Here is a 22,050-nt window from a genome sequence, read left to right as displayed (position 1 = left end):
AGGAGAATGGCGTGAACCTGGGAGGCAGAGCTTGCGGTGAGCCGAGATCGGGCCTCTGCACTCCAGCCTGGGTGACAGAGCAAGACTCTGTCTCAAAAAAAAAAAAAATCTTTAAAGATAAAAATGACAAACTAAGAAAAATAGTTGGGTCTTATATAACAGGCTAAAGATGAATACTCAGAAATGAGGAACGCTTATAAGTCAATAAGAAAAAGACTTAGTAGAAAAACAGGCAAAGGATATGAGCAGCAATTCTCATAGTAGAAATAAAAATGGTCAATGAATATGCAAAAAGATGTATTCGACTTCCCTAGTAGTCATGTAAATGCAAATTAAAGCTTCCTTCTATTTGGTACAACATGTTTAATCTGGTTGTATCAAGTGTTGGCTAGAACATAGGAGAATAGTTCTCTCATACACTATGGTAGTCTATCTTGGAGACCAATTTTAAAACATTTATTAAAATTTTAAATTGCTTATATCCTTCTGCCCAGTAATTCAATGTCCAAATGTCTGTCCTGGAGCATTCAAACATGTGCTCAAAAACTTTTACGTATATATATAAAATGTTTATCAGTGAAAGAGAAAAATTGGTATGTTTGGATTTAAGACCACCTAAGGCATTATATACCTCCATCATTTGAGTGTTTGAGTGTTTTAGAACAGATTACACTTAATTTTATCACGAAACTTTATTTTTGCAAATTCTGTATTTCATGGTTAACATCATAGAGTGGAAACATTCTCTGTACAGTCAGTTCAAAATCTTGAGTTGCTTTTGATTTAAGTGATCCAAAGTTTAAAAAAAATTAATAAAATCTTGAGTTGCTATTTATGCTTTATATAAGTAGTAGCATCACTAACTCCGTATTTTTTTTTCTGAGGTTTCATTGTTTAATTTTCTAAAAACATTTTAAACTTGTAAAAATTCTCATTTTGGGATTTTCATAAAAAGTACAGCTTATTGACTAATAAATGAGGAAGCTCATAACAAATTCATTATATGTCATTTGACATAACTAAAATGAAGCAGACTGGCTAAAACCTTTCTATAGATTCTTACACAATTTGGAAGTAAATATGGGTGAAGTTCTTTAGATTCAACTATGTTCTTAAAAATTTAATCCTTGATTCTATTGAATTTGCTCTTTGGTTTAGAATGCTTTGAGCTGTTGATGGTTTTTCTGACTTTGTACATTGAGTTGATAAAATACATACTCTTTTCAAAAACAGAAAGTTAAATAAGTATATCTTAGTTCCTTAAAAATGCTCATTGGTGGGTAGCTATTTACCTGAAGTGTGACTGAAAATAGAAAGATTCTGTAACATCTTTGAAAATTGCCAGTAAGTATTTATGTGTATATGTTTTAGTGTCAGTATAGGAGATAAGTTAAAGAAAGTAAGTTAAATGTTAAAAAGCAACCTCAAAGTGGCATAATGTAGGCCTCAGTGAACTAAAGTATTGTTTTTTCATGTTTGTATTTTGTGTCTTTTTATCAAGTAAAAGAAACAGCCCGGAAATCCAAGTAGATTTCTCAGTTTGTTACTCTGTTAGTGAGTGTTTTATGCTTTTTGGTTTATGAGTCATGAAGATTGGAGAATTTATATTTCAGAACTATAAACTTATGCTGGCTTCTAGAACTGTATCTCCTCTAGGGTATCTCAACAGGGATAATTGAATACCAGGAGCTCTTAAAGCGTACAGATAATTTCATTTCCTCCTTGATGTCATTGGTATCTCAGAAGCCCTGAAACCACTTAAGTTAGAACTATTTGTTTATTTATAAGTACTTGTCTGTAATGTACGGAGAAAAACTTACAATGAGATTATTATGTCTCCCAAATTGCTACTTAGAATAAATTACCAGTTCAAAAGAAGCAATTAGATAAAATATTCAGACGTTTAAAAATATTACAGCTGAAACATTTCTTTCACATAATTATTTTTCATGATTGCCTTAAGTGAGGCAACTTCTAAAATAATATTATACTAAAGTGTTATTTCTGCCATTTCTTGCAAGAGGATACAATGTCACCTTCAGCAAGGTAATTGCGTCCTTTTTGTTTTGAAAAAAGTGATTTTATATGAAATATGTATATTCATGTACTTATCACCCAGTTTAAGAAATGAAACAGCCAAAACAGTTTAAGCCCTCCCCCTACTTTATCTTCCTCTCTGCCCGCTAGAGATAATAATCACAATCCTGAATTCAGTGTTTATTAGCATCCATACATGTCTTTATACTTCTCCACATATGTATGCAGCCACAAACAAATAACATTTTTCACTTTTAAGCAAATGAAAACATACTGTATATATCCTGCTACAACTTTACTCTATCAGCATTATGTTTCTGATACACAGTTGATTCCTGTATGACTCACCACAGTTTACTTATTCCGTCTTCTCTTAATGAACATTTAGGTTGTTTTCATTTTCTTTGCTTTTGAAAAAATATAGCTGCTGGAAGCAATCTTGTATGTGTTTCCTAAGGCACAAGTGTAAGGACTTTTCTATATAACTAGAAGTAAAATTGCCAGTCATAAGTTGTGTACATCCTTAGCACTCCAAAATGATTTAGCAGTCTTTGCTCCTAGTAGTAATATGTAAGAGTAAACTACCTGTAGCTCCAGTTCCTTGTCAGCTCTTAGTACTTTTGGACTCTAAAATTTTTCCAGACTGATGGTTGTGAAATGGTATCTCATTATACTTTTATTTTTCCCTTTATTTGGCTAGCTTTACCAATATATAATTTATATATAATAAAGCTTACCAATTTTAAGTGTAGAATTCTGTGATGTTTGACAAGTGTGTAATCACATAGCCACCACCATAATCATGATACACAACATTTCTGTCCCCCTAGAGAATCCTCATGCCCCATTGCAGTCAGTTTCTTCCCCCAACCTCCCGGCCCCTGACTAGACTGATATGCTTTCTATCACTAGAATTTTGCCTTTTCTAGAAGTGTATGTAATTGGAGTCTTACATTACAGTCTTTCCTGTCTGTCTTCTTTTATTTAGCATAATGCTATTGAGGTTCATCTGTGTTTCTTCTTTATATTATTTCTTCTTATTGTTGAGTAGTATTCTGTTGTATGAACATGTTTGTTTATTCATTCTCCACTTGAACATTTGGATTGTTTTTGGGTTTTGGCTTATGTGAATAAAGGTGCTATGAACATTTGCCTATAACTCTTTGTGTGAATATATGTTTTCATTTTTCTTAAGTGCCAAAGAGTGAAATTATTAGGTCATAGGATAAGTGTATGTTTAATTTGTCTAGAAGCTGCCAAACTATTTTTATTTTTTTTTATTTTTTAAAGTAGAGATGGGGTTTCTCCATGTTACCCAGGCTGGTCTCCAACTCCTGGACTCTAGCAGTTCTCCTGCCTCAGCCTCCCAAAGTGCTGGGATTAAAAGCATGAACCACTGCACCTGGCCAATGCCCAACTGTTTTCCAAAGTGACTGAACAATTTTGGATCCTCCCCAGCAAATTAGGAGAGTTCCAATCCCTTGACAACCCTTGCCATATTGTCAGTCTTACCCATTTTAGCCATTCTAGCACATGTACAGCAGTACTTCACTGTGGTTTTAATTTGCATTTTCTCATTGTGTTTGTTTACCAGCCATATATCTTTGGTGAACTGTCTGTACAAATCTTTTCCCTACTTTTTAACTGGGTTTTGTTGTTGTTGGTTTGTTTTGATTTGGTTTTTTAAACTGAGTTATAAGAGTTCTATATTCTGGATACAAGTCCATTGTTGAATATATGTTTTGCAAATATTTACTCCCAGTCTGTGCCTTGCCTTTTCCTTTTCTCAGCAGTGTGTGTTGAAGAACTCAAGTTTCTAATTTCAGTGAAGTCTAATTTACCAATTTTTTTATTTTATAGTTTGTGTTTTTTGTGTCCTATTAAAAAAACTTTAGCCTAACCCAGTGTCACTAAGATCTACCCATGTTTTCTTCTAGAAGTGCTGTAGTTTTAACACTTACATTTAAGTCTTGCTCTTTTCTTTTTTTCTTTTTTTTTCTTATTATTATACTTTAAGTTTTAGGGTACATGTGCACAATGTGCAGGTTAGTTACATATGTATACATGTGCCATGCTGGTGTGCTGCACCCATTAACTCGTCATTTAGCATTAGGTATATCTCCTAATGCTATCCCTCCCCCCTCCCCCCACCCCACAACAGTCCCCAGAGTGTGATGTTCCCCTTCCTGTGTCCATGTGTTCTCATTGTTCAATTCCCATCTATGAGTGAGAACATGCGGTGTTTGGTTTTTTGTCCTTGTGATAGTTTACTGAGAATGATGATTTCCAATATCATCCATGTCCCTACAAAGGACATGAACTCATCATTTTTTGTGGCTGCATAGTATTCCATGGTGTATATGTGCCACATTTTCTTAATCCAGTCTATCATTGTTGGACATTTGGGTTGGTTCCAAGTCTTTGCTATTGTGAATAGTGCCGCAATAAACATATGTGTGCATGTGTCTTTATAGCAGCATGATTTATAGTTCTTTGGGTATATACCCAGTAATGGGATGGCTGGGTCAAATAGTATTTCTAGTTCTAGATCCCTGAGGAATCGCCACACTGACTTCCACAACGGTTGAACTAGTTTACAGTCCCACCAACAGTGTAAAAGTGTTCCTATTTCTCCACATCCTCTCCAGCACCTGTTGTTTCCTGACTTTTTAATGATTGCCATTCTAACTGGTGTGAGATGGTATCTCATTGTGGTTTTGATTTGCATTTCTCTGATGGCCAGTGATGATGAGCATTTTTTCATGTGTCTTTTGGCTGCATAAATGTCTTCTTTTGAGAAGTGTCTGTTGATATCCTTTGCCCACTTTTTGATGAGGTTGTTTTTTTCTTGTAAATTTGTTTGAGTTCATTGTAGATTCTGGATCTTAGCCCTTTGTCAGATGAGTAGGTTGCGAAAATTTTCTCCCATTTTGTAGGTTGCCTGTTCACTCTGATGGTAGTTTCTTTTGCTGTGCAGAAGCTCTTTAGTTTAATTAGATCCCATTTGTCAATTTTGGCTTTTGTTGCCATTGCTTTTGGTGTTTTAGACATGAAGTCCTTGCCCATGCCTATGTCCTGAATGGTAATGCCTAGGTTTTCTTCTAGGGTTTTTATGGTTTTAGGTCTAACATTTAAGTCTTTAATCCATCTTGAATTAATTTTTGTATAAGGTGTAAGGAAGGGATCCAGTTTCAGCTTTCTACATATGGCTAGCCAGTTTTCCCAGCACCATTTATTAAATAGGGAATCCTTTCCCCATTGCTTGTTTTTCTCAGGTTCGTCAAAGATCAGATAGTTGTAGATATGCGGCATTATTTCTGAGGGCTCTGTTCTGTTCCATTGATCTACATCTCTGTTTTGGTACCAGTACCATGCTGTTTTGGTTACTGTAGCCTTGTAGTATAGTTTGAAGTCAGTTAGTGTGATGCCTCCAGCTTTGTTCTTTTGGCTTAGGATTGACTTGGCAATGCGGGCTCTTTTTTAGTTCCATATGAACTTTAAAGTAGTTTTTTCCAATTCTGTGAAGAAAGTCATTGGTAGCTTGATGGGGATGGCATTGAATCTATCAATTACCTTGGGCAGTATGGCCATTTTCTTGATATTGATTCTTCCTACCCATGAGCATGGAATGTTCTTCCATTTGTTTGTATCCTCTTTTATTTCCTTGAGCAGTGGTTTGTAGTTCTCCTCGAAGAGGTCCTTCACGTCCCTTGTAAGTTGGATTCCTAAGTATTTTATTCTCTTTGAAGCAATTGTGAATGGGAGTTCACTCATGATTTGGCTCTCTGTTTGTCTGTTATTGGTGTATAAGAATGCTTGTGATTTTTGTACATTGATTTTGTATCCCGAGACTTTGCTGAAGTTGCTTATCAGCTTAAGGAGATTTTGGGCTGAGACGATGGGGTTTTCTAGATATACAATCATGTCATCTGCAAACAGGGACAATTTGACTTCCTCTTTTCCTAATTGAATACCCTTTATTTCCTTCTCCTGCCTGATTGCCCTGGCCAGAACTCCCAACACTATGTTGAATAGGAGTGGTGAGAGAGGGCATCCCTGTCTTGTGCCAGTTTTCAAAGGGATTGCTTCCAGTTTTTGCCCATTCAGTATGATATTGGCTGTGGGTTTGTGATAGATAGCTGTTATTATTTTGAGATACGTCCCATCAATACCGAATTTATTGAGAGTTTTTAGCATGAAGGGCTGTTGAATTTTGTCAAAGGCCTTTTCTGCATCTATTGAGATAATCATGTGGTTTTTGTCTTTGGCTCTGTTTATATGCTGGGTTACATTTATTGATTTGCGTATGTTGAACCAGCCTTGCATCCCAGGGATGAAGCCCACTTGATCATGTTGGATAAGCTTTTTGATGTGCTGCTGCATTCGGTTTGCCAGTATTTTATTGAGGATTTTTGCATCAATGTTCATCAAGGATATTGGTCTAAAATTCTCTTTTTTGGTTGTGTCTCTGCCCAGCTTTGGTATCAGGATGATGCTGGCCTCATAAAATGAGTTAGGGAGGATTCCCTCTTTTTCTATTGATTGGAATAGTTTCAGAAGGAATGGTACCAGTTCCTCCTTGTACGTCTGGTAGAATTTGGCTATGATTCCATCTGGTCCTGGACTTTTTTTGATTGGTAAGCTATTATTGCCTCAATTTCAGAGCCTGTTATTGGTCTATTCAGAGATTCAACTTCTTGCTGGTTTAGTCTTGGGAGAGTATATATGTCGAGGAATTTATCCATTTCTTCTAGATTTTCTAGTTTATTTGCATAGAGGTGTTTGTAGTATTCTCTGATGGTAGTTTGTATTTCTGTGGGATCGGTGGTGATATCCCCTTTATCATTTTTTATTGCATCTATTTGATTCTTCTCTCTTTTTTTCTTTATTAGTCTTGCTAGCGGTCTATCAATTTTGTTGATCCTTTCAAAAAACCAGCTCCTGGATTCATTAATTTTTTGAAGGGTTTTTTGTGTCTCTATTTCCTTCAGTTCTGCTCTGATTTTAGTTATTTCTTGCCTTTTGCTAGCTTTTGAATGTGTTTGCTCTTGCTTTTCTAGTTCTTTTAATTGTGATGTTAGGGTGTCAATTTTGGATCTTTCCTGGTTTCTCTTGTGGGCATTTAGTGCTATAAATTTCCCTCTACACACTGCTTTGAATGTGTCCCAGAGATTCTGGTATGTTGTGTCTTTGTTCTCGTTGGTTTCAAAGAACATCTTTATTTCTGCCTTCATTTTGTTATATACCCAGCAGTCATTCAGGAGCAGGTTGTTCAGTTTCCATGTAGTTGAACGGTTTTGAGTGAGTTTCTTAATCCTGAGTTCTAGTTTGATTGCACTGTGGTCTGAGAGACGCTTTGTTATAATTTCTGTTATTTTACATTTGCTGAGGAGAGCTTTACTTCCAACTATGTGGTCAGTTTTGGAATGGGTGTGGTGTGGTGCTGAAAAAAATGTATATTCTGTTGATTTGGGGTGGAGAGTTCTGTAGATGTCTATAAGGTCTGGTTGGTGCAGAGCTGAGTTCAATTCCTGGGTATCCTTGTTAACTTTCTGTCTCGTTGATCTGTCTAATGTTGACAGTGGGGTGTTAAAGTCTCCCATTATTATTGTGTGGGAGTCTAAGTCTCTTTGTAGGTCACTCAGGACTTGCTTTATGAATCTGGGTGCTCCTGTATTGGGTGCATATATATTTAGGATAGTTAGCGCTTCTTGTTGAATTGATCCCTTTACCATTATGTAATGGCCTTCTTTGTCTCTTTTGATCCTTGTTGGTTTAAAGTCTGTTTTATCAGAGACTAGGATTGCAACCCCTGCCTTTTTTTGTTTTCCATTTGCTTGGTAGATCTTCCTCCATCCTTTTATTTTGAGCCTGTGTGTGTCTCTGCATGTGAGATGGGTTTCCTGAATACAGCACACTGATGGGTCTTGACTCTTTATCCAATTTGCCAGTCTGTGTCTTTTAATTGGAGCATTTAGTCCATTAACATTTAAAGTTAATATTGTTGTGTGTGAATTTGATCCTGTCATGATGATGTTAGCTGGTTATTTTGCTCGTTAGTTGATGCAGTTTCTTCCTAGTCTCGATGGTCTTTACATTTTGGCATGATTTTGCAGCGGCTGGTACCGGTTGTGCCTTTCCATGTTTAGTGCTTCTTTCAGGAGCTCTTTTAGGGCAGGCCTGGTGGCGACAAAATCTCTCATCATTTGCTTGTCTGTAAAGTATTTTATTTCTCCTTCACTTATGAAGCTTAGTTTGGCTGGATATGAAATTCTGGGTTGAAAATTCTTGTCTTTAAGAATGTTGAATATTGGCCCCCACTCTCTTCTGGCTTGTAGAGTTTCTGCTGAGAGATCCGCTGTTAGTCTGATGGGCTTCCCTTTGTGGGTAACCTGACCTTTCTCTCTGGCTGCCCTTTAAGTTTTTTCTTTCATTTCAACTTTGGTGAATCTGACAATTATGTGTCTTGGAGTTGCTCTTCTTGAGGAGTATCTTTGTGGCATTCTCTGTATTTCCTGAATCTGAATGTTGGCCTGCCTTGCTAGATTGGGGAAGTTCTCCTGGATAATATCCTGCAGAGTGTTTTCCAACTTGGTTCCATTCTCCCCATCACTTTCAGGTACACCAATCAGACGTAGATTTGGTCTTTTCACATAGTCCCATATTTCTTGGAGGCTTTGTTCGTTTCTTTTTATTCTTTTTTCTCTAAACTTCCCTTCTCGCTTCATTTCATTCATTTCATCTTCCGTCACTGATACCCTTTCTTCCAGTTGATCGCATCGACTCCTGAGGCTTCTGCATTCTTCATGTAGTTCTCGAGCCTTGGCTTTCAGCTCCATCAGCTCCTTTAAGCACTTCTCTGTATTGGTTATTCTAGTTATACATTCGTCTAAATTTTTTTCGAAGTTTTCAACTTCTTTGCCTTTGGTTCGAATTTCCTCCTGTAGCTCGGAGTAGTTTGATTGTCTGAAGCCTTCTTCTCTCAACTCGTCAAAGTCATTCTCCATCCAGCTTTGTTCCGTTGCTGGTGAGGAGCTGCTTTCCTTTGGAGGAGGAGAGGTGCTCTGCTTTTTAGAGTTTCCAGTTTTTCTGCTCTGTTTTTTCCCCATCTTTGTGATTTTATCTACTTTTGGTCTTTGATGATGGTGATGTACAGATGTGGATGTCCTTTCTGTTTGTTAGTTTTCCTTCTAACAGACAGGACCCTCAGCTGCAGGTCTGTTGGAGTTTGCTAGAGGTCCACTTCAGTCCCCGTTTGCCTGGGTATCAGCAGTGGTGTCTGCAGAACCACAGATTTTCGTGAATCGCGAATGCTGCTGTCTGATCGTTCCTCTGGAAGTTTTGTCTCAGAGGAGTACCCGGCCGTGTGAGGTGTCAGTCTGCCCCTACTGGAGGGTGCCTCCCAGTTAGGCTGCTCGGGGGTCAGAGGTCAGGGACCCACTTGAGGAGGCAGTCTGCCCGTTCTCAGATCTCCAGCTGCGTGCTGGGAGAACCACTGCTCTGCTCAAAGCTGTCAGACAGGGACATTTAAGTCTGCAGAGGTTACTGCTGTCTTTTTGTTTGTCTGTGCCCTGCCCCGAGAGGTGGAGCCTACAGAGGCAGGCAGGCCTCCTTGAGCTGTGGCTGCTTTTTTTTACCTAAGCAAGCCTGGGCAATGGCAGGCGCCCCTCCCCCAGCCTCACTGCCACCTTGCAGTTTTATCTCAGACTGCTGTGCTAGCAATCAGTGAGACTCCGTGGGCGTAGGACCCTCCGAGCCAGGTGCAGGATATAATCTCCTGGTGCGCCGTTTCCTAAGCCTGTTGGAAAAGCGCAGTATTCGGGTGGGAGTGGCCCGATTTTCCAGGTGCCGTCTGTCACCCCTTTCCTTGACCAGGAAAGGGAACTCCCTGATCCCTTGCGCTTCCCAAGTGAGGCAATGCCTTGCCCTGCTTCGGCTGGCGCACGGTGCGCTGCACCCACTGTCCTGCACCCACTGTCTGGCACTCCCTAGTGAGATGAACCCAGTACCTCAGATGGAAATGCAGAAATCACCCGTCTTCTGCGTCGGTCACGCTGGGAGCTGTAGACCGGAGCTGTTCCTATTCGGCCATCTTGGCTCCTCCTAAGTCTTGCTCTTTTCAAGGTAAATTTTGTAAATGTTGTTGAAGTAAGGGTCCTTTTGGTTTTTGGTTTTTGAGGTTTTTGTTTTGTTTTTGATGTGTGGATATTCCATTGTTGCAGCACCATTTGTTAAAAGTGTTCATTATAGTTTTACTTTCAGTACTTTCAGTTTTCTTGAATAATCTTTTCCTTTGTGATTTATGCTGTGTGCTTCTTACGTAAGAAATTCTTCTCTAAGCCAAGGTCATAGAACTTAGAAAATGCACAGTGTTACAGATAAGAGCAAAGTCTCCGGAGTCAGACTGAGTTTGAATCCTGGCTTTACCACTTACTCTCCGTGTGACTTTGAGCAAGTTATTTAACATCTCTGAGCCTCAGTTTCCTCATATATAAAATGAGACTAATAAGAGTCCTTACCTCAGAGGGTTGTTATGAGAATAAAAGGAAATGTAATACATTTCAAGTGCCTGGCACAGTGGCTGTGCATTGGTGATTGTTATCACCATCATTAGATGTTTTCTTAAAATTTTGTTCTGAACATTATAGTCTATAGTTATATAGACCAGAATGGTCTATATAACTTATGTTTTAAGTTTCTTTTTATGGCCTACAGAAGACTTGTTTTATGAAAATAAAATTATCACATTATGAAAGTCTTGTTTAATATTCTTTTATTTTGTAGCTAGTGGCGGTTGGCAGGAACCTGAAAATCCTCACACACAACGGGTAAGTAAAGGGTCATAAGAGAGAGAGGATGAAATCGGAAAAAATTGAGTAAAAGACTGAAGATCTTGCATTTTATGGGTAGATATGAGCTGTGTTTATAAGTCCATAATACGTCTTTGCACATAGACAGTGCTTCTCATTGTAAGACATTGAAATACACTGTCACTTTTTTCCAAATGACTTAAGATAATGGAGAATCCTAGGTGTAGCTTTAGTTCTGTATTTGAATTGTGCATCAGGAAAAGGAACCAAGTTTTTGTTTTTTCTTCACACAACCCACCAGTGAGTTAAGGTTCCATTTGTTCTCAGATACTCTTAGAAATATCATAAACAGCCAGGTGTGGTGGCTCATGCCTGTAATCCCAATACTTTGGGAGGCTGAGGCAGGAGGATTGCTTGAGCCCAGAAGTTCAAGACCAGCCTGGGCAATACAGTGAAACCCCATCTCTACAAAAAAATTAAAAATTCAGCTGAGTGTGGTGGCGCATGCCTATAGTCCCAGCAACTCAGGAGGCTGAGGTGGGAGGATTGCTTTAGCCTAGGTTTTCGAGTCTGCATTGAGCTATGATCATACCACCACGCTCCATCCTAGGCAATAGAGCAAGGCTGTGTCTCAAAAAAAGAAAAAGAATGCGGTAGAGACAAACGCAGTGGCTCATGCCTGTAATCCCCATTACTCAGGAAGCTAAGGCAGGAGGATTGCTTGAGGCCAGGAATAAGTATGTATTTTTATACACATCAAAGCTATACATCTACACACAAGTATTTTAAAATATATGCAAAATATAATATATTTGTTTCTCTGAGTAAGAAAGATATCTAAACCAGTAATAGTTGATACCTCTAATGAGTAGAAAAGTCAACTTGGGCAGAAGGGATAAAAGAGAAGTTTTGCTTTTTATTCTTTTCATGTGTATAGTGTTTGAACTTTTTTTTTTTTTTTTTTTTTGAGACAGGATCTCACTCTGTCACCCAGGCTGGCATGCAGTTGCATGATCACAGCTCACTGCAGCCTCAACCTCCCAGGCTTAAGCAATCCTCCCACCTCAGCCATTTAAAAGAAAAAAAAATAGGTTTTTGGGGAACACCTGGTGTTTGCTTACATGGATAAATTATTCAGTGGTGATTTCTGAGATTTTGGTGTACCTATCACCTGAGCAGTGTACACTGTACCTAATGTGTAGTATTTTATCCTCACCCCCTTCCCAGCTTTCCCCCTGAGTCCGCAAAGTCCATTGTATCATTCTTATGCCTTTGCATCCTCATAGCTTAGCTCCCTCTTATGAGTGAGAATGTATGATGTTTGGTTTTCCATTCCTGAGTTACTTCACTTAGAATAATGGTCTCCAACACTATCCAGGTTGCTGCAAATGCTATTATTTCACTAGTTTTTATGGCTGAGTAGTATTCCATGGTGTATACATACCACATATTCTTTATCCACTCATTGATTGATGGGCATTTGGACCGGTTTCCTATTTTTGCGGCTGTGAATTGTGCTGCTATAAACGTGCAGGCAAGTGTCTTTTTCATGTAATGACTTCTTTTCCTCTTGAGTAGATACCCAGTAGTAGGATTATTGGATCAAACGGTAGATCTACTTTTAGTTCTTTAAGGAATCTCCATACTGTTTTCCATAGTGGTGTACTAGTTTACATTCTCACCAACAGTGTAAAAGTGTCCCCTTTTCACCAGATCCATGCCAGCATCTATTACTTTTTTTTTTTTAATTAAGGCCATTCTTGCAGGAGTGGTTTAGATCTTCATTTCCTTGATCATTAGTGATGTTGACCATTTTTTTAAATATGTTTGTTGGCCATTTGTGTATCTTTGAGAAATGTCTATTCATGTCCTCTGCCTACTTTTTAATGGGATTATTTGTTTTTTTTCTTGCTGATTTGTTTGAGTGTCTTGTAGACTTGAGATATTAGTCCTTTGTTGGATGCATAGTTTGCAAAGATTTTCTCCCACTCTATGGGCTGTCTTTTTAGTCTGCTGATTATTTCATTTGCTGTGCAGAAGCTTTTTAGTTTAAGTTCCATTTATTTTTGTTTTTGTTGCATTTGCTTTTGGGTTCTTGGTAATGAAGTCTTTGCCTAAGCCAATGTCTAGAAGGATTTTTCTCATGTTATCTTCTAGAATTTTTATGGTTTCAGGTCTTAGATTTAAGTCTTTGATACATCTTGAGTTGATTTTTGTATAAGGTGAGAGATGAGGATCCAGTTTCATTCTTCTACATTTAGGTTGCCAATTATCCCAGCACCATTTATTGAATAGGATGTCCTTTCCCCAGTTTATGTTTTTGTTTGCTTTGTCAAAGATCAGTTGGCTATAAGTATTTGGTTTATTTCTGGGTTCTCTATTCTGTTTCATTGATCTGTGTGCCTATTTTTATACCAGTATTATGCTGCGTTGGTGACTATAGTCTTATATATAGTTTGAAGTCAAGTAATGTGATGCCTCCAGAGTTGTTCTTTTTGCTTAGTCTTGCTTTGGCTATGTAGGCTCTTTTTTGGTTCCATGTGAATTTTAGGATTGTTTTTACTAGTTCTGTGAAGAATGATGATGGTATTTTGGTGGGAATTGCATTGAATTTGCAGATTGCTTTGGCAGTATGGTCATTTTCACAGTATTTATTCTACCCAGCCATGAGCATGGGATATGTTTCCATTTGTTTGTGTTATCTGTGATTTCTTTCAACAGTGTTTTGTAGTTTTTCTTGTAGAGGTCTTTCACCTCCTTGGCTAGGTATATTCCTAAGCATTTTGTTTTTGTTTTTTGGGTGGGGTTTTTGCGGCTGTTGTAAACAGGGTTGAGTTCTTGATTTTATTCTCAGCTTGGTCACTGTTGGTGTATAGCAGTGCTACTGATTTCTGTACATTGATTTCATATCCTGAAACTTTACTGAATTCAAAACTTTTTTTTTTTTTTTTGAGATGAAATCTCTCTCTGTCAGCCAGACTGGAGTGCAATGGTGCAAACTCAGCTCACTGCAACTTCTGCCTCTCAAGTTCCAGCGATTCTCTTACCTCAGCCTCCTGAGTAGCTGGGATTACAGGCGCCCGCTACCACGCATATTTTTAGTGCAGATGGGGTTTTACCATGTTGGCCAGGCTGGTCTCGAGCTCCTGACCTCAAGTGATCTGTCCACCTCGGCCTCCCAAAGTGTTCGGGTTACAGGCATGAGCCACTGTGCCCAACCTTTTATTGAATTCATTGATCAGATCTAGGAGCTTTTTGGATAAGTCTCTAGGGTTTTCTAGGCATACGATCATATCATTGGCAAACAGCAACAGTTTGACTTCCTCTTTACTGATTTGGATGCCCTTTATTTCTTTCCTTGTCTGATTGCTCTGGCTAAGACTTCCAGTACTGTGTTGAATAGAAGTGGTAAAAGTGGGCATCCTTGTCTTGTTCCAGTTCTCAGCTGGAATGTTTTCAACTTTTCCCTGTTCAGTATAATGTTGGCTCTGTGTTTGTCGTAGATGGCTTTTACTTAAGGCATGTTCCTTCTATGCTGATTTTGCTGAGGGTTTTGCTCATAAAGGATGCTGGATTTTGTCAAATGCTATTTCTCTGTCTATTGAGATGATCCTGTGATTTTTGTTTTTAATTCTGTTTATGTGGTGTATTACATTTATTGACTTGGGTATTTCAAACCATCCCTGCATCCCTGGTATTAAACCCACTTGATCATGGTGTATTATCTTTATGATATGCTGTTGGATCCAGTTAACTAGTATTTCGTTAAGGATTTTTGCATCCATGTTCATCAGGGATATCTGTCTGTAGTTTTCTTGTTTTGTTGTGTCCCTTCCTGGTTTCGGTATAAGGGCGATGCTGGATTCATAGAATGATTTAGGGAGGATTCCCTCTTTATCTTTTGGAATAGTTTCAGTAGGATTCATAAAAATTATTCTTTGAATGTCTGATAGAAATCAGCTGTGAATCCATCTGGTCCTAGGCTTTTTTTTTGTGGACAGTTTTTTTTAATTACCATTTCAATCTCACTGCTTGTTACTGGTCTGTTCAGAGTTCCTATTTCTTCCTGGTTTAATCTAGGAGGGTTGTATATTTCCAGGAATTTATCCATCTCCTCTAGGTTTTCCAGTTTGTGTGCATAAAGGTGTTCATGGTAGCCCTGAATGATCTTTTCTGTTTCTGTGGTATCAGTTGTAATATCTCCCATTTCATTTCTAATTGAGCTTATTTGGATCTTCTCTCATCTTTTCTTGGTTAATCTCACATTCTATCAATTTGGTTTATCTTTTCAAAGAGCCAGCTTTTCGTTTCATTTATCTTTTTTATTGTCTCTTTTGTTTCAGTTTCATTTAGTTCTGCTCTCATCTTTGTTATTTCTTTTCTTCTGCTAGGTTTGGGTTTGGTTTGTTCTTGTTTCTCTGGTTCTTTAAGGTATGACCCTAGATTGTCTCCTGTACTCTTTTAGACTTTTTGATGTAGGTATTTAATGCTATGAACTTTCTTCTTAGCACTGCTTTTGCTGTATCCCAGAGCTTTTGATAGGTTGTGTCTCACTATTATCATGCAGATCAGAGAGTTTTTAAATTTCCATCCTGATTTCATTGTTGACCCAGTGATCATTCAGAAGGAGATTATTTAATTTCCATGCAATTTGCATCGTTTCAAGAGTTCCTTTTGGAGGTGATTTTCCATTTTATTCCACTGCTGTCTGAGCGAGTACTTCATATAATTTCAGTTTTCTTAAATGTATTGAGACGTGTTTTGTGGCCTCTCGTATGTTCTATCTTAGAGAATATTCTATGTGCTAATGAATAGAATGTATCTTCTGCAGTTGTTGGGTAGAATGATCTGTAAATATCTGTTAAGTCCATTTGTTCTAGGGTATAGTGTAAGTCCATTGTTTCTTTGTTGACCATCTATCTTGATGACCTGTCTAGTGCTGTTGGTGGAGCGTTGAAGTCCCCCACTATTTTTGTGTTGCTTTGTATCTCATTTCTTAGGCGTAGTAGTAATTGTTTTATAAATTTTGGAGCTCCAGTGTTAGGTGCATATATATTTAGGATTGTGATATTTCCTGTTGGACTAGTCCTTTTATCATTATATAATGTCCCACTTTGTCTTTTTTAACTGTTGTTGCTTTAAAGTCTGTTTTGTCTGATATAAGAATAGCTACTCCTGCTCACTTTTGGTGTCCATTTGCATGGAATATCTTTTTTTACCCCTTTACCATAAGTTTATGTGAGTCCTTAGGTGTTAGGTGAGTCTCTTGAAGACGGCAGATACTTGGTTGGTAAATTGTTATCCATTCTGTAATTCTGTATTTTTTAAGTGGAGCATTTAGGCCATTTACATTTAACATTAGTATTGAGATGTGAGGTACTATTCTATTCATTGTGCTAGTTGTTGCCTGAATACTTAGATTTTTTTTTTCATTGTGTTATTGTTTTATAGGCCCTGTGAGACTTATGCTTTAAGGAGGTTATATTTTGGTGTGTTTCAAGGTTTTGTTTCAGGATTTAGAACTCCTTTGAGCACCTCTTGTAGTGCTGGCTTGGTACTGACAAATTCTCTCAGCATTTGTGTGTCTGAAAAAGACTTTATCCTTCATTCATTTACAAAGCTTAGTTTCGCTGGATACAGAATTCTTGGTTGATAATTGTTTTGTTTAAGGAGGCTAAAGATAGGACCCCAGTCCCTTCTAGCTTGTAGGGTTTCGCCAAGAAATCTGCTGTTAACCTGATAGGTTTTCCTTTATAGGTTATCTGATGTTTTTGCCTCATAACTCTTAAGATTCTTTCCTTTGTCTTGACTTTAGATAACCTGATGACTGTGTGCCTAGGTGGTGATCTTTTTGCGATGAATTTCTCAGGTGTTCTTTGAGCTTCTTGTATTTGGATGTCTAGATCTCTAGCAAGGCCAGGGAAGTTTTCTTCTATTCTTTCCTCAAGTAAGTTTTCCAAACCTTTAGATTTCTCTTCTTCCTTGGGAACACCAATTCTTAGTTTTGGTAGCTTAATATAATCCCAGACTTCTTAGAGGCTTTATTTTTTATTATTATTGTTATTATTCTTTTTTCTTTGTATTTGTCAGATTGGGTTAATTCAAAAGCCTTGTCTAAGTGTGTCTGTCATTTCAAAAATTGTGATTGTTTATTATTTATGCTGTCTTTCTCTGGAGATTTTTTTTGTCCATAACCTGTATTTTTTTTTTTTTTTTTAATTCCCTTAAGTTGGTTTTCACCTTTCTCTGGTGCCCCTTTGAGTAGCTTTTTGAGTAGCTTAATAGTTGGCCTTCTAAATTTTTTTTCTGACAATTCAGAGTTTTCTTCTTGGTTTGGATCCATTGCTGGTGAACTAGTGTAATCTTTTTGGGGTGTTAAAGAACCTTGCTTTGTCATATTACCAGAATTGTTTTTCTGGTTCCTTCTCATTTGGGTAGACTATGTCAGAGGAAAGATCTGGGGCTTGAGGGCTACTGTTCAGATTATTTTGTCCTACGACATTGTTCCTTGATGTGGTGCTCTCCCCCTGTGGCTTCCTGAGAGCTGGACTGCAATTATTGTTATTGCTGCTCTGGGTCTAGCCACCCGGCCAGAGCTATCAGTCTCCGAGCTGGTACTGGGGAGTGTCTGCAAAGAGTCCAGTGATGCAGTCCGTCTTCAGGTCTCTCAGTTGTGGATACCAGCACCTGCTCTGGTGGAGATAGCAGGAGAGTGAAGTGGACTCTGTGAGGGTCCTTGGTTGTAGTTTGGTTTCGTATGCTAGTTTTCTTTAATGCTGGTTGTGCTAGCAGTGAATTGTCACGTGGACAGACTCAGGACCTCTGGTTAGCCAGGATGTCACAGGTGGTGGAATTAGCTGTTGTTTTCTCCTTTTGAGGGCAGGGTTGTTCTTTTATGAGTTGCTATAATGAGTTGGTTGGCCTCCAGCCAGGAGGTGGCGCTTTCAAGAAAGCATCAGCTGCAGTAGTGTGGTGGGGATACAAGCTTGCCCTAAGGTTGCCTGGATAAGTATTTGGGTTTCCCAGGTGATCAGTGGGGCCATAAAGCTCCCAAGAGTTTACAGTCTTTTGTCTTGGGCTACCAGGGCAGGTAGAGAAAGACCATCAGGTGGGGGCATATCTGAGCTCAGAATCTCCTTGGGCAGGGTTTGCTGCAGCTGCTGTGAAGGACAGTTGTGTGGTTCTCAGGCCAATGGAGTTATGTTCCCAGGGGGATTATGGCTGCCTCTGCTGTGTCATACTGGTGGCCAGGGAAGTAGGGGAAAGCCAGCAGTGACAGGCTTCACCCAGCTCCCATGCAGCCAGCAAGGCCAGTCTCACTCCCACCATGCCCCACCAACAGCATGGGGTTTGCAGGGCCAAGATTTTGGCCCAGGCTACAAGCCTACTTGCTGAAAAAGCAAGCTAGCCTTTTGGACTCCGCCCCTTCCCGACTGCTGTGGCTTATGTGCTCATATCTGTACTTCCCCTTTACGCCTTCCCCATCTTGATTGTGCCCAGGAAAATTTGCTCTCCGTCAAAGTTATTACAAAGTTCACCTGGAAGTTTCTGTCTCCAAGTGGTCCTTCCTCAGTTCCACTGGCAGCACTCCCCAAGGACCCCTGTGAGATTAAAGTCAGAAATGACTTCCCTGGGCTTCACTGGGAACCGGGAGTGCCTACAGGGCTCTTCCCGCTGTTGCTTCTTCTATTTTTATATTTCACTCGGCTCTCTAAATTTTGTTTCAGCACTAGGTAAGGTTAAATTTTTCTCCCATGATCTGGATTTTTAGGTTCTCCAGTGAGGATGTGTGTTTGAAGGTGGATTTTCCCCCTCTTACACATGGGCACTCACAGATTTTCTGCTGTCTCATGGATTTTGCAGCAGCAAGCCACTTCTTTTAAAGGGTCTGTGAATTCTTTCAGTTTTCCTAGTATGTTCCTGCAGTAGTTCTTGGAATAAAAATTCACAGTGTGAGTCTCCACATGTTGTTCTGTCTGTCTGAGGGGAAGCTGCAAGTTAGTCCTGCCTCCTATCTGCCATTTTTTTTTTGCCACCTCATCCTCTTGAGTAGCTGGGACTATAGGCATACACCACCATGCCCAGCTAATTTTTGCATTTTTTTATAGAGACAAGGTCTCACTCTGTTGTCCAGGCTGGTTTTGAACTCCTGGCCCCAAGTGATCTACCCACTTCAGCCTCCCAAAGTGCTGGAATTGTAGGCGTGAGCCACTGTGCCCATCCTGGTTTGAACTTTTTATGATTAATATGTATTGCTTTTATAATTAAAATGTATTTTAAAAATTAAAAAGTGTGATGGAGTTGGGGAATAAAATACAGTATAAAATGCTATGTTCTTAGAAATAAGTGGTCCTGTGGCCATGCAGAAAAAAAATAAGAGCAGTTGTGAGGGGAAATAAGTAATGAAGTTAGAGAGCAAAAAATTTCCAAGCCTCTTCATTGCCCATTTCTTCCCATCCTTGAACTTCAGTTTTCCATTTCACTTCGGAAAACAGATCACATAACGAAGAAAAATTATCTTAGAAGAAAAAGGGCAAACTTGCCCATCTTAATAATTTGTCTTCTCTATTCATTATGTGTCTAGTCAGTGTAGTTGATTAATTTGATATGTTTTCTGTTAGCTTTTTTGTGTACTGAGTCTGTGATTTTCTTACAGATGAACAAATTGATTGAATATTACCAGCAGCTTGCTCAGAAAGAGAAGGTTGAGCGAGATCGCAAGAAACTGGCACGACGTAGAAACTATATGCCTCTGGCTTTTTCGGTGAGAATTTGGTACTAAAATGATTTGCAAGACCTCTAAGGCCTAAGAACAGTGATCATTTCAGAAAATGGCCATTGTCCTAGATTCCTGAATGGTGGATATCAGAGAGAGGGATTCTTCAAATTATAGACGTTTAAGTCCAATAGTTAGGCTTTTGCTATATCATTAGTTCTGTTTGAGTTATTTGTGTTTTGAGGACATTTGTGTTTCTTTCTCCATCACTCCCCTTTATCTTCTGATTATTTCCCCAGAAAGGCTGTTAATTTTGTAGGCACTGCAGAGTTCCACGTACAGCTTTTGTGTATTACAGAAAGTCTGAGAAGAAGGAGGTGGGCAAATGGTAGATTTCAGTCATATTACCCCTGTAGCCCACCTTTGACATCCTGGCAGTAGTGGTTTCTCAGCTTTAGTTATAATTTTTTTAACATCCTCCCCTGTTTCTCCAAGATGAAAAACACTGACTTTTTACATAGTGCACTTGTGTGGTTAAATAGTAATATATGCAAGTAGAATTTTTGATAAGAATTATTTATGAGAGTCATTCTCTACCAGTTTACGTACTGCTAGTAAGAAGAAAGAAATTAGGATTTGGAATTTTTGTTATTTTACCCCGAGTTTTATTTGCTCTCATAGTACAGTTTGTTTTCTGTGTGCTTGCTTGGGGCCCAGCAAATTGACATTCAATAAATAACATTTATTGAATGGCAATGATGTGTCAAGCTCTGTGCTAAATAAACACTTTACATGTATTACTTTACTTAATCCTCACAAAAATCCTGTGGAGTATCATATCCCCATTTTACGCTTGAGGAAATGGGACCTAGTTAAGCAACTTGTCATACTGCATCCACATGAAAATTAGTTAAGTCATTGAAACCCTAAGGGTTGGTAAAGTCCATATAAAAATACCTAGATTAAGCTGGGTGCAGTGGCTCACGCCTGTAATCCCAGCACTTTGGGAGGCTGAGGCGGGGGGATCACTTGAGGTCAGGATTTCAAGACCAGTCTGGCCAACATGGCGAAACCCTGTCTCTACTAAAAATACAAAAAATTAGCTGGGCATGGTGGCGCACGCCTATAATCTCAGCTACTTGGGAGGCTGAGGCATGAGAATCGCTTGAACCCAGGAGGCGGAGGTTGCAGTGAGCCAAGATAGCGCCACTGCACTCCAGCCTGGGTGACGGAGTGAGACTCTGTCTCAAAAAAAATCTAGATTAGAATTTAAAAACATTAACACTTGCAAAGCACCTACATTTGCAAAAAGAAGTGAATTTTTCTGAATAGTCCAGTGGTATAGTCAGCATATGCACCAATGTGTGTTATATTTAGAGGTAGAATTTGAATTAAATGAATTATTCTTCCAATTTTCCCATATAACCTGCCTGCTATATGCGTTTGCTTCTATCTTATGCTGCATTTTTTGTCTCTGTTGCAACCTGCTGCTATTTTGGGGCTCTACAGCAACATACTATTCATGTAGTGGTAAGTTCTCCTTTATGATTCTTGCTGACCCTGAAGAAGTTAGCAGATGACCACTGGTGTTCCAGGAAGACGTCTGTTGTGTATCTTAGACACTCCACATAGTTCTTGCCTGAGCCGTAGCTTAGATACTTTTAGATTACTAGCAGAAGCTCACATTTGGTTCATTTTTACTGTATTAATATAGTTTCAATCTCCATGTTTAGTGCTGTTATTATTTTAAGAATAGAATAATGATGTGGGGCTACAAATTGCTTTCTTTAAAAGAAGCCTTTAGATTAGCTTTTTTTTTGCTTATTTCCCTGAGCTTCTCATGCTATCCTACCCAAAATTCTTTCTTTTGATAAATAGGGTGTGTAAAAGTGGACTTTCTAATAGGAATTTCTGAACTTTGTTTAGGACAAATATGGTCTTGGAACCAGGCTTCAGCGACCACGAGCTGGTGCATCCATCAGTACCCTTGCCGGACTTTCGTAAGTTTAGACATGAAATGACTTTGAGGAGAACAGCAGGTATCAAAATGAATATCAAATAAATGAGATTAAAACACACACACACACACAGTTGTCAATGGAAAAGAAGATTCTCATACTTAGAAAAGACCTACGCTATACAGATATTCTATGACAGAGGAATACTTCAATTATTGATATCATAGACTGAGGATAATCAGGTGGATCCGTGAGAAATTACTCTTTTGTTTTGTTTTGTTTTGTTTTTTTAATTTTTCAGCCTTAAAGAAGGAGAGGATCAGAAAGAGATAAAGATTGAGCCAGCTCAGGCTGTGGATGAAGTGGAACCTCTACCTGAAGACTATTATACAAGACCAGTAAATTTAACAGAGGGTAATTTTCTGTGTTTTTCTACTTTGTTTCTAGTCTACATCTAATTCTGTTTTTGTTATTTATGTACCTAGTGATTTGAGATTTTTAATGGAATAGCTGTTAGTAGTAAAAACAA

The 22,050-nt window shown here is 38.6% G+C and overlaps 1 protein-coding gene across 8 annotated transcripts in view, besides 1 other annotated feature; it reads left to right on the top strand.

The window, feature by feature from the left end:
- DCTN4 (dynactin subunit 4) overlaps window positions 1-22,050 on the top strand; it is a 50,578-nt gene that overhangs the window by 6,039 nt on the left and 22,489 nt on the right. For 6 of the 8 annotated variants that reach the window (NM_016221.4, XM_011537644.2, XM_047417261.1 and 3 more), the window contains 4 exons: window positions 10,822-10,865; window positions 19,504-19,611; window positions 21,490-21,563; window positions 21,823-21,935. In NM_016221.4, coding sequence (NP_057305.1) covers window positions 10,822-10,865; window positions 19,504-19,611; window positions 21,490-21,563; window positions 21,823-21,935 — 339 coding nt within the window. Of the gene's footprint in view, window positions 1-10,821; window positions 10,866-19,503; window positions 19,612-21,072; window positions 21,094-21,489; window positions 21,564-21,822; window positions 21,936-22,050 lie in introns of all 8 variants that reach the window. The other 2 variants (NM_001135643.2, XM_047417263.1) reach the window with 2 other exon arrangements.
- Window positions 17,821-18,050: an enhancer, noted in NCBI's record as "active region_23426". NCBI's record gives its function as "activates an Ori minimal core promoter by ATAC-STARR-seq in GM12878 lymphoblastoid cells {active_cell/tissue: GM12878}" and the evidence as "EXISTENCE:reporter gene assay evidence [ECO:0000049][PMID:35858748]".

This window comes from Homo sapiens, chromosome 5, assembly GCF_000001405.40.
Source record: "Homo sapiens chromosome 5, GRCh38.p14 Primary Assembly".
NCBI lineage: Eukaryota > Metazoa > Chordata > Mammalia > Primates > Hominidae > Homo > Homo sapiens.
This window is presented reverse-complemented; position numbering and strand designations above follow the sequence as displayed.